Source organism: Homo sapiens, chromosome 12 (assembly GCF_000001405.40).
Source record: "Homo sapiens chromosome 12, GRCh38.p14 Primary Assembly".
NCBI classification, from domain to species: domain Eukaryota; kingdom Metazoa; phylum Chordata; class Mammalia; order Primates; family Hominidae; genus Homo; species Homo sapiens.
The window spans coordinates 4,653,803-4,666,786 of record NC_000012.12 but is presented as its reverse complement, the minus strand read 5'-3'; the positions used below and the strand labels follow the sequence as shown (position 1 = coordinate 4,666,786).

At 39.0% G+C, this 12,984-nt stretch overlaps 1 protein-coding gene across 1 annotated transcript in view; it reads right to left on the bottom strand.

Moving 5' to 3' along the window:
• NDUFA9 (NADH:ubiquinone oxidoreductase subunit A9) overlaps positions 1-12,984 on the bottom strand; it is a 45,204-nt gene that overhangs the window by 27,531 nt on the left and 4,689 nt on the right. The window contains exons 2-6 of the mRNA NM_005002.5: positions 12,325-12,495; positions 11,865-11,962; positions 8,948-9,039; positions 7,610-7,751; positions 4,152-4,254 (exon numbers count right to left, since the gene is read on the bottom strand). Coding sequence (NP_004993.1) covers positions 4,152-4,254; positions 7,610-7,751; positions 8,948-9,039; positions 11,865-11,962; positions 12,325-12,495 — 606 coding nt within the window. The remainder of the gene's footprint in view (positions 1-4,151; positions 4,255-7,609; positions 7,752-8,947; positions 9,040-11,864; positions 11,963-12,324; positions 12,496-12,984) is intronic.

The window sequence follows — 12,984 nt, the reverse complement described above, 5'->3', positions numbered from 1 at the left end:
AAACTTACTACAAAGGCACAGTAATCAAAACAGTGTAGTGATCAAAACAGTGGCGTAAAGAAAAACATACAGAGCAATGGAATAGAGAAAAATAACTCTTGCATATATGGTCAAATGATTTCTGACAAAAGCACCAAGACCATTCAATGGGGAAAGATAATCTTTTCAACATACTGGATAACCACATGCAAAAGAATAAAATTGGACCCTTACCTCATACCATATACAAAAACTAAGTCAAAATGGATCAAAGACCTAAACCTAAGAGCTAAAACTCTAAAACTCTTAGACAAAAACAAAAGGAGAAAGCTTCATGGCATTGGACTTGGCAACGACTCCTTAGATACAATACTAAAAGCACAGGCAACAAAAGTAAAAATAGATAAGCCTGACTACATCAAAATTAAAACTTCTGTGCATCAAAGAACACAATTAACAGAGTGAAGAGACAAACTAAAAAATGAGAGAAAATTTTACAAATCACATATCTGATAAGTATTTAATGTTCTGAATAAATAAAAAAACTCCTACAACTCAATAACAAAAAATAAACAACCCAATTTTAAAAATTAGCCAAGGACATGAACAGACATTTCTCCAAATAATAAAGTAGCCAAAAAGCACATGAAAAGATGCTCAACATCACTAATCATTAGGAAAACATAAATCAAAACCACATTGTTGCCAGGCGTGGTGGCCCATGCCTATAATCCTAGAACTTTGGGAGGCTGGGGCAAAAAGACTGCTTGAGGCCAGGAGTTTGAGTCCAGCCCGGGCAAGAGAGCAAGACCTGTCTCTACAAAAATATATATATTTTTTAAGCCAGGTGTGGTGGTACACACCTCTAGTCCCACCTATGTAGGAAACTGAGGCAAGAGGATCCCCTGAGCCCAGGAGTTCAAGGCTGCAGTGAGCTGTGATTGTATCACTGCCTAGGTGACAGAGCAAGACCCAATCTCAAAAACAAAAACAAAAAAACCACACACAATGAAATACCACCTTAGAACTATTAGGATGGCTATTATAAAAAAAAAAAAAAACAGAAAATAACAAATATTGACAAAGATCTGGAGAAAGTGGAAACCTTGTGCACTGTTGGTGGCAATGTAAAATGGTGCAGCCACTGTGGAATACACTATGGTGGCTTGTCGAAAAAGTAAAAATAGATATACCATATGCTACAGAATTCCACTTCTCAGTACATACACCAAATAACTGAAATCAGGGATATTTCGTACATCCATGGTCATTGCAGCATTATTCACAATAGCCAAAAGTGGGAAGAAATCCAAGTATCCATTGATGGATGGCTTATTAAACAAAATGTGGTATAGACATATCACAGAATATTATTCAGCCTTCAGTAGGAAGGAAATCACATCACGTGGTACAACAGGAATGCACCTTGAGCATATTATGCTAAGTCAAATAAGCCAGCTACGAAAAGACAAATACTGTATGATTCCACTTATATGAGGTGGTCAAATTCATAGAAACCAAAAGCAGAATGGTAGTTGCCAGGGGCTGGGGGGAAGGAGGGAACAGAGAGTTGTTTAAGGGGTACAGAATTTCAGTTTTACAAGATGAAAAAGTTCTGGGGATTGGTTGTACAACAATGTAAATATCTTAATACTACTGAACTGTACTCTTACAAATAGTTAAAAGGGTCTTAATCTTGTCTTAGTCTCAAGACTCTAAACTCCAAAGTCGCATCCAAATATTATCTAAATCAGATATAGGTAAGACTCAAGGTGTGGGTCATCCTGAGGCAAAATTCCTAACTATGAACATGTGAAACCAGACAAGTTATGTGCTTCCAAAATACAGCCGTGAGACAGGCATAAGATAGACATTCCTATTCTAAAAGGAAGACGTAAGAAAGAAAGGGTAACAACTCCCAAGTAAGTCCAAAACTTAGCAAGGTAAATTCTATTAGATTTTAGAATCTAATAAAAACACACACACAATGAAACACCACCTATTAGGGTGGCTACTAAAAATCAATAATCTTCTTTGCCTAGATGCATTGCCTTCTAGATTCACAGAGGTGGTGGTCTCACCTTCAGGACCCACTGAAGCGGTAGTTCTAACTTCTAGGACCTACTGGGGCAGCAGCCCCACCCCAATAGCTCTCCTGGGCAGAGGGTCAACACCTCAAAGGTTCCAGGGGGCTGTAGCCCCAAGGATCAGGCAGCTGTACCTCCAAGACTCTGGGTGGTCCCACCTCCAAGGCCTCTGACAAAGGCCATGTGGTGTTTAAACTGAGGCAATGGCCCCATCCTTTGAAACCAAAGAGATAGTTCTAAACATCTCTGAACCCCTTTTGGGGTCATTCTTCCCTTTTCTTGAAGAATAGCTCAAATTCACAGCCAAATAGCTCTGTGGTCTGGTCCTGTAGGATATCAGAAGTCAGACAGGCTTCTTTCATTCTGCCCCTTCTAGTTCAAACTGGTGGTGACTTTGCTGATGTAATCTCATCTCTATTCCTGGCTTCTGCCAAGATAGCTTGTTAGTTGGTGAGTCGCATCCACAATCTCTTCATCAAATGGTTGTTCAGCCACACTCTTAGTGTTCTCTTCAAAACAAGCTTTCTCATTTTTTGCAATATGGATAAGCTGAGAATTTTCCAAATCTTCAGGTTCCGGTTCCTTTTTGCTTAACAAGTCCTTCTTCATTTCCTCTTTCTCTCTTTTTCTATTCTGTTGTAAGCAGTCGGGAGGAACCAAGGCATTTCTTCAATACTTTGTACTTAGAAATCTTCTCAGCTGAATAAACAATTTCATCACTCACAAGTTCTACCTTCCACTAGAACACACACAGATCAGCCAATTTCTTTGCCATTTTATTATATGGATCACCTTTCCTCCAGTTTCCAATGACATCTTACTCATTTCCATCTGAGACCTTACAAAAATCACCCTTAACGTCCATATTTCTACCAGGTACCTCAAAACTCTTCTAGCCTCTACCTTTACATAGTTCCAAAGGCACGTTCACATTTTTAGGTATTTGCTACAGCAGCACCCCACTTCTTGGTACCAAAATCTATTTTGGTCTGCTCAGGCTACCATAACAAAATACCATAGACTGGGTGGCTTGTACAATAAAAATGTATTTTCTCACAGTTCTGGAGGCTGGCAAATTCAAGATCAAAGTGCCAGCCAGTTTGGTTCCTGATAAGGGCTCTCTTCCTGGCTTGTAGACAGCAGATTTCTTGCTGTGTCCTCACATATGGCCTTTCCTCAGTATGTGCACACAGGGAGAGAGAGATCTCTCTTTTTGCCTCTTCTTATAAGGTCACCAATCCTACTGAATTACGACCTCACCCTTATGGCCTCATTTAACCTCAATTTCCTCCAAAAGTCCTAACTCCAAATAAATTCACAATGGTGTTAAGGCTTCAACATACGAATTATGAGGGGGCGCAATTTAGCCCATAGCAGATGGGAAATTTTATACTATGTATATTTTGCCACAATTTTTTTTAAGTAGAAATTATTACAGATGTTAGGTGGACACAAGCAACAGGGGGAAAAACAAGATAGAAACATCTAAATTGGATAAACCAATATCCAATACAATGGAATATACACAATGGAATACTATTTAGCTATATAAAGAAATGAGCTATCAAGCTATGAAAAGAAATGAAAGAACCTTAAATGCATATTGCTAAGTGAAAGAAGTCCACCTAAAAAGGCTACATACTGCAATGATTCTAACCATATATGTAATATCCTGGAAAAGGCAAAACTATAGAGACAATAAAAAGATCAGTGGTTGTCTGGGGTTAGGGGTGGGTAGGAGGGTAAGAATCAATACATATAACACAGGGGATTTTAGGATAGAGAAACTATTCCATGTGATATTCGAATATTTGCCAAGGTCACAGAGTTAGCTGGGCCAAGACTTAAACTCAAGTCTCTGACTCCCAAGTTCATGCTCTTTCCATTAATCTAAGTTGCTTCTTTTGATATGGAATATAACAAAGACTACATTGACTATGAAAATATAAACTTAGGGGAGGAAAAGGCAACTGGGAAAGAAAAAATATATCCTTAGTCTGTCAATCAGAGAAAACTGTTAGCTTGAGCAGCTTCAACTTGGTTAATCAGTATCCCTCTCTTCTACCATTAAGAAAGAATACGTACTTGCAAAAGAATTAAGGAATCTATCCTCTCTTCCAAAGATGTCCGACGGCTTTACGATAATGGCTTCCGGAAATGCATCTCTCACTACTTTCTCTCCAACAGCCTAAACAATAACCAAACAAACCTGTTTTGAGTTTAGAGACAAGTGAATAAAGCATCCATTCTTTCCACTATTAAGACATGACTTGTATTTCAAAGGCGATATTTTCCTCCAGATAAAGGTAATCATGTAATTCATAAAACTCAGTTACACAGAACTTTTAAAAAATATAATCCACAAAAATGTCCTGCACCTTACAGATTGGGTTGGGTCTCTTCCAATTTTTTTATTTTAAGGGAAGCTTACATTGAAGAAGGAGAAAAATCAAAGTAGAATTTCTTCAGCCTCCATTTTTCCTTCTATTTACAGATTCTCTGGTTTGTGTCAACCATCTAGCAGCCTGTTAGAAAAAGGACAGTATGGTGGCAGCAGGCTGCAATAATGGAAGTGTCACCAGTACCTACATATCCAAAGGAGGTTGGGGATAGAGTCACTAATCCTCCTAATCTCAATTGCTGTACCATCCTTACTTGTTATCATCTACTAGCCTCCTAGGCAAGTCTTCTTGTTCGATGAAGATATCAGCACCTAATTCAGTCTTCCTTTCTACTTCCACCACCACTGGAGGTGACATGATGTCCAAGTGGGCTTGGACTTCTCAGGTTCTTGAGCTGCTCAACTCCAACGACCTCCTCTTCCTTCCACCTCTACCACTCTTAACTTGGTTACACCACCTACTGTATCAACATCTGGAATTGCTCTTCTTCTGAGGTATTAAATGAAGACATCCTGCTCTTGGATGTCCATTTCCTACAATTTCCAGCCTGCTTGTTCTTTGTTCATCTGCTCCTGGGATACCTGTTTCTCAACCTTCTCAAGAACTCTAGTGCACTGATTCTGCTTCCCCTGTATCAACTCTTCCGACTGTTCCTGTCCTTCCCTCTGAATTCCAGATTAGGTTCCATAGACCATCTTCTCATCACTCTCTTGCCAATATTGTAAACTACCTTGTCCCTTTGTCCTTTACTCTAGCCACCAGGCAAAATTCTAATCCTAGAAGAACTCCATTGGCCTCCCTTGGGCCATGCACTCCCACTGTCTTGAGCAGCTGGCAGGAAAATAAATCAATAAAAACCATGAATTGGTACCACTATAAATTCATGCCTCCAATTTTAACCAGGCCCTCAACATTTCCCAAAAACCGTGTTTTCCTCTAATTAACTTACTTTCCCATGAGACAATTTGAAACATTTTCTACTGTATTCAAATTTCAGACATCCCTTTCTTTTCTCTTCCTTCCAGTAAATGACTCTGCCTTCTAATAAAAGAGAAAATGTAAGACAGTAGAGGAAAAACCACCTCAAGTTCTCACCACTAAATCTACAAACCCCGGTATATAAAGCACAATTTTCTCCTCCTCTCTTACCTGATGGGAGGAACAGTGCCACTTTCAATGCTTTAGAGCTCATGTCCTTTCACTTTTTCAGGAACCTGTCCAATTTACTCTCTCTTCCACATCCTCAGCCTCACTCTTTTTACCAGCATCTCCCTACCAGCATGTAAACAATGTAGATCCTCTACCTTAAAAAAAAACATACCAACTCCACATCCCCCTCCAGCTTCTATCCTCTCAGTCTTTCATCTTCCTCTTGCCAGTCAAGCTACCTGAAAATGTACCTACCCTTACCATTCCCACTTCCTCAGTTCCAACTCACTCTTCACGCACCCGCATTCTGGATTCTGCTCCAACCACTGCACTCAATCTATTCTTGATAAGATCACCAATGACCTCCATGTCAGTAGATCCAAGGAGACTTTACAGTTAACATTTGCTTGACTTCTCAATGGCATTCATAAGTATTCACTTCCTCCTGTGAGACTGTCTGGCCATGGCTTCCCTAGCACTGTACTCTCCTGGTTTCCCTTCCGCCTTATCATGTCCTGCTTAGTCTTTCTGTTTGATTGGTTTGGGTTTCTGCAGGTGCCTCCTTCTCTACCAGATTACTAACCATTGGTATGTTCTGGGCCCAATCTGAAACTACCTTCTCAATCTTCAGCCATCTTATCCTCTCTCATCACTTAAATTAACAACAAATGCTGGTAACTCCCACATTTCTGTCTCCAACCCAGACCTCTCTTCTGACCTCCAGGATCAGAAACCCTATATACCAGTTACTTGGAAGATTGACACACATCTGAAATGCACCTGAAACGTGAGTCCAAAACTCAATCATCTTCCATTCTCTCAAGTAAAATAGTGCTCCTCAATCTTTGCTGCACTCAGAATTACCTAGACAGAGTTAAAAAATACTGGTGCTGAAGTTGCAACCCCAGAAATTGTTTTAATTGGTCTGGAGCGCAGCCTAGGCATCAGAATTTTTAAAAGCTCCCTCAGTGGTTTTAATGTGCAACTAAGGCTAAGACTCACTGCCCTACAGCCTAGTCCCTCCCAAGCATTTCCCATCTTATTCAACAGTACTATCATCTACCCAGTGGCTTCAGCCAGAGGGCTGGACATCTTTGACTCTTCTCTCTTCCTCACCATTGACACCTCCCATTCCCTTCCAGTCATGAAATTCTGATGATTTTATGAATGTTTGGGCAGAGGCAGGCACAAGCATTCTCTCTCTTATTTTCTCTCTATTTACTACCGTAGCCACAGTGCTTAACACAATATGTGACACACAGTAGGTGCTTAATGAATAGTTTATCCAGTAAACTAATGTGGTGAGTCAAAAACTTGGAACCATTATCAAGGAACTCTCTTGTCCTTATCAGTATGACTCCAAACAGGCTTCCATATGGCAGAATCCAAATGTTAAGCGCACGGCCAGACACTGATATCCCTTCTGCGTCCCTGATAATGAACACGTTTCACTTAGGCTACAGACTGACTCCAAACTACAGTGGTCAGTCTCTAGGTATGGCATTTCTGGGAGTAAAAGGAGCATAAGCACTGTGTGAATAGGCATCTTCCCTGGCAAATATTAATCCCTGTCATTCTGAGCCTTCACATTGCCCCTTTAAGAGTGGCACAAAACCACTGCAGTGCAAGGGGTGAGAAAGAAAGATGGTCCTTTAACCATGGTAGATGACACAGGTATGATTCCTTTGGCAGAAATCTGTGATGGTTTCTGTATAATTCAATGATGCCCCAAAGAAACTTTAAGTATCTGAATGCCAACAGTAACATGGTCTAGCCAACTCCGAAGCCCCATAGCACAGTTCCCTGCAAACAGAAGGCAATCAATCAAAACGTCAAAACATCACACACACCCCTAGTTCTGGATGCAGGGAATCAGAAAACCTTTTAATTCTACATATGTCTGTGATAAACCCTTCTCACTGAAATCATGTTTCAAATGGCCCAAGAAACTCTGGCTCTGTGAACCACTTCCCAGATCAATTTGTTACTTACCTTATTTCTCAAATATCTAGAAGAGCTTTTAATATTCGCATTCAGATGTGAAACATGAATGAATTTTTCAACTCCAGCTTCCTTGGACAGTTGAGCAATTGCTTGGGGAATCTTCACAAAAACATCCTCAAAATCAAAGTTTCTGGAAGATAAAAAATAAAAGGATTGGTTAAGAACTCCACACACAGGATCTCAAAGCTTTACGTGATAAGATGGTTTTCATAACAGTACTGAAATTCACACTACTTAAACTTTTAAACAGCAATGATTTAACTTAAAGCTAAATTTGGCCAGGTGTGGTGGCTCATGCCTGTAATCCCAGCACTTTGGGAGGCCAAGGCGGGTGAATCATTTGAGCCCAGGAGTTCAAGACCAGCCTGCACAAAACAGTAAAACCCTGTCTCTATTTCTAAAAAAAGAAAAAAAATTTTTAATTTTTTTAAGCTAAAATTATTTTTTTAAAAAAGTTGACAGCTCTGCTGTCATTACTCTACACAATTTAAGGACTACTTTAAGTTAGAAATCCAGTATACTTCATGTTCTGCATTATCAGGGAATCCTGAGGCTGAGGCCCTTTAAAGAAACCTGGCCGTACTGGCTGCTGAAGTGTTAGGAATCACTTCTTACCCCGGGACTTTGTTTCCCGCAAGGGAAAAAAAAGAAACTAAAAACAAGTCAGTCAACAATTTCATTCGGTAACGTTAACTAAATGTTTACTCTGTACAATACACTATGTTAATCATTAGGGGGGATAAAAAGTTGAATAAGACCCCCAAGTCATCAAAGAATTTATAAAATATTTGATGAGAAGACACATATTAAAAAACTAAGTCAAATTTTAACACTATAAAAAGAGGTGTAAACAAAGTGTTGTGGACTATAGGATTGAAACATTATTTGTTAATAAACAATCCATACAAAGAACTGTTCAAATTAGTCCTCACGCCACCTCCAATTAACAATGCAGAAAAGACATCTAGAACACTGTCTACACAAGAAAAACCAAAGTTCAGCTTGCTAAACAGCAGAACAGGCAAAATCCTATTTCTTAACCCCATCCCATAGGGACTGATCCAAGTACAGGACCAACAGCAGCCACACCAATACCACCTACTGGCTTTTTATGGGCAGTATATCACACTGCTGACTTATACCAGACTTAATGTCAGCTACATCTCCTCAGGGGTGTCACTGGGTATGCAAGTGGTTGTTCAACCAACCCTTATTCACTAATTGAAAATGTCACTGTGATAGCTGGCACATAAAAGGTGCCCAGCGAAGGTCCATTAAACCCTAAGAAAGACTTAAGCAAAGAAGAAACAAGAGTCAAAGACTTACTTGGTTTCCCAGTCTCGTCCAATAAGATTGATGACCACATTGCTGTGTTGTACTACTCGTCGGATAGAATCTTTATCTCTCGCGTCCCATTCCTATAATAGCAGAAAGCAATCGGATGAAAACATAGGGGTATACCTCAGCACTCAACACTTCTGCAGCCTCCTCAATGCAAGTTTCAAAATGGGCCATCTGCTGTAGTCATAATATAGTGCCATTTCATCCAAGCTCCATTTATTACAACAGAAATGACATCTCAGACTCCCTGCTGATTCCCTCACTCTTTCCGAGACAAACAGGTAACAGTACACTTTACTCAGGTAATCAAATGACAGAGCTAAAAAGGAGGCTATTGATTTTTAATGGAGCATATTAGTTTTTGTCCACCCAACTACTCCTTACTAAGTTTGAAAAGAAACCCAGGAAACCAAGTCTCCAATCCTGAAATACAGACAAAGAAGCAAGGATCATTAGGGAGATAGACTTTCCCTTCTTGACAGCAACCACTTACAGACTGAAGATAGGAAGAGTGTCTTTTAAAGACTAGTGTTAGTTGGGGCCATTCATGACTATTTTCTTATTTCTTTTTAATTCTTTCCTCTTTTATAACCCCAGATCTAGTAATTTCTCCATTAACAACATAAAAACAAGAGTCAAAGAGAACTACCTAAAACTTCAGGGTGAGCCAAGGGCAGGTTTCTATAAGCATTTCAATGGAAGATAACAAGTAATAAGAATTTCTTAGCACCAAATAATAAGTGCACATGCATGAGTCAGTGCAATAGGAAGGAGACAGAGCAAGAAGGGAAAAGAGAAAGAAAGTGGGGATGAAAGAGAAAGAGAGAGAACTAGGATGTCTGTTTAATTTAGGAAAGAGAAAACAAACTATAAAATCAGATTCAAGAACAAAAAGATGAAGCCCCAGCAGGAAGAACCAGTTAGGACTGATGATAGAAAGTGGGTTAAAAGACACAGTCTAAACAGTGGCTTTGGAGTCAAACAGACAGGAATGCAAATCCCAGTTTGCCATATACTAACTTTGTACAAATTATCTCTTCAAACCCCATGTAAAATTAGAAAACACAACTTACCTCACGAGGTTATTATGACGATTAAGTGAAATATACATAAAATCTACAGCAGTGAGTGATGTAATAAAAGGAAACCAAATTTTCAGGGCTAAGGCCCAAGGGCACACAGTCAGGTGGGCAAACCAAGTGGACATTCAGACAGCAGATGCAAACAAAGACTAAAGCGGGGAAATCAGCACCTCACACCCCAAATAGTCCTTCTCGAAAATAAACACATAAACAAACACTAAACATACAAGTCTCTGAGTTCCCTGTGGTCTTGGTCATCCAAACGTGCTCAGAGCACAGGTCAATGCTAGACATTCAGGAAATAAATCTCTGCAGAAATAATGGAATAGATGTCATTTGGTTTAATTCCAATGGTTCAAAAGTTTTCACCTATCACTTTTTAAATACTTCAATTTTGAGGCTCTGACAAGGTGACCAACAAACTTGAGGGACAAAGAACTAGGAATAAGCTAAGATTCTGTAACTTTAATACCAAGAATATACTTAATAGTAAGATTTTGGAGAAGAAAAACATTTTGGAAATAAGAAATTTCTGATACAAGTATTATACTTAGCTTGTGAACACTGAGTCAAGAATAAATGAAAATGTGAAAATGAAATGAAAATAAATCAAAATTTAAAGGGATTACAAATAATCTGTATGAATATTACCAGAGATAGTAAGAAAGTTTAGCAAGTATTTTTTAAAAGGGAAAATGTATAACTCCATTCCTTACAGGACAACACAAGTAGGAAGTCAGCTATAAGATCAGTAGATTTAAGCATCAAGGCCCAGACAGTATCGCAATCAATAGCTTGGCTGCAGGCATTTGGGGCAGCACAACTCTTTGTGGAAAGAGACTGTCCTGTGCTCCGTAGGATATTTAGCATCCCTGTGCCTGTACCTAATAACCAGGACAGCTCCCCAATCACTGTGACAATCAAAGAGTTCCATTAATCACTCCCTTAATGGCCCTCCTCTACCCTCTTTCCCCTGCCTCACCGCATTGGCAACTACTGCCCTAAAGAACCTGTAGATTAAAGGACGACAAAGGGAATGCTCAGAAAGGACTGTTCTAAGTTAAATCTATACTAAACAACCAAGTTATAAAACACCCTATTTGTGATTTTTTTATGTTTATAGAGCACTATTCAATAGAAATATAACATGAGGCACATAGGTAAAAAAGAAACAAGTAAAATTCATTTTAATAATACATTTTATTTAACCTAATATATCCAAAATATTATTTTAATATGTAACAAATATAAAAAATTGTTAATGATGAATCGTATATTGTTTTCTTCATACTGAGTCTTTGAAATCTAGTGTATATTTTATACGTACAGCATATCTCAATTCAGACTAGCCACATTTCATGTGCTCAGTAGCCACATGTGGCCAGTGGCTACCACACTGGACAGCACAGGTCTAGAGCAGGGATTGATAAACTATAGTCCATAGGCCAAATTCAGCCTGCAGCCTCATTTTGTAAATAAAATTTTACTGAAATGCAGCCATGCCCATTTGTGTACATATTGTCTATGGCTACTTCCAGTTACAAGGGCAGAGCTGAGTAATTATGACAAAGACTCTACGACCTGCAAAGCCAGAAGTATTTACTCTCTGTCCCTTCAAAGAAAAAGTTTGCCAACTGCCAATCTAGAGCTTGCATGACAAAGGAGATGCCGGAACCTAGCTGAAAGAATGACCTGGGAACAGAGGATGCCTTTGGTCCATTCTGGGAAGAAATTACTGCTTTATTATACTGCCTATCACTCCTAAAAATGACCTTAGTAATTTATATTTGTCAACTTCATTCAGTCATAAAGGCCCTTACCAGAAACAGAAGCTGGCCCAGGTCACCCATGGGACGAAGGTGCATGATGTCATATTTATCACACCGATAGGGTATGATTACCTGTGACCCCATGCGTCCTAAAAGAGAATGGATTGAAAAAAGGATCAACATTAACATAATGTGGATATATTATACAATTGTGACTTGGTAAATATTTAAATTCTAGTATGGTATGTGAATTGATATTATATTTGACAAAAAGAATATTTTGCCATGCTAAAGATGCCATAGCTTTTCAGAGTCCCTTATTCCTATCCTAATAATTCCTATATAGGAGCATGAGTGTGCTCTTCATGTCACAACAAATAAAAATTACATACATCCAAGACAGGAGTAATTCATAATACTGTTAAAATGAAGAGAAACATAGCTCATGCTTCTCATCAGGCAATCCTGATCAATGGCAATGGAGCATATGAACTTAAGGAACTTTACTTACCAAGGTGGTTGACAACATATCGCCCCAGGAATCCTGTTGCTCCAAACACAGTGGCCACAATCCCACTGACTGAGGAACGTCCACCTTTCCCATGAGGCATGAGGGCATGATGAAGCTGGCGACAGGGTGGGCCGTGACACACAGATGTGGCTATTGCAGTAATGGCAGAACCTTAAACAAAACCCCAAAGTATACAAGCATGGCAAATATTAATATTTTTAAAACTGTCAACACAAATAGCTCCTTTCTCTAAAAACTTGTAACATTATTTTGCAATCAGTACTTTAGCAATTTAAGTATCAAGGGCAATAATAAACACAAACTACTACGACACAGAATCCAGAGGACATGAGGAAATATACTCCCTACCCTATACAATGTAACTTACCTAAGAAGATAAGTCACATTTTTTAAAAAACATATTAAACAGTCACAAAGTAGGAAAGCATAAGCCTATACGGTAAAAGGAACTGAGAATATGTAATAAATGAGCAATAAATCACATTACCATGAGGAAGTATTCCTGGATAAAATGTTTTGAGAAAGGTCTTAAAAGAGGAAAAAAAAAAGAAAGGACAGAATCCCATGAGGAACACATCACAATGCAGAGGTAGAATGAATAAGCCTACAGCACAGGGCAACAGCAAAAGACTCTCCTGG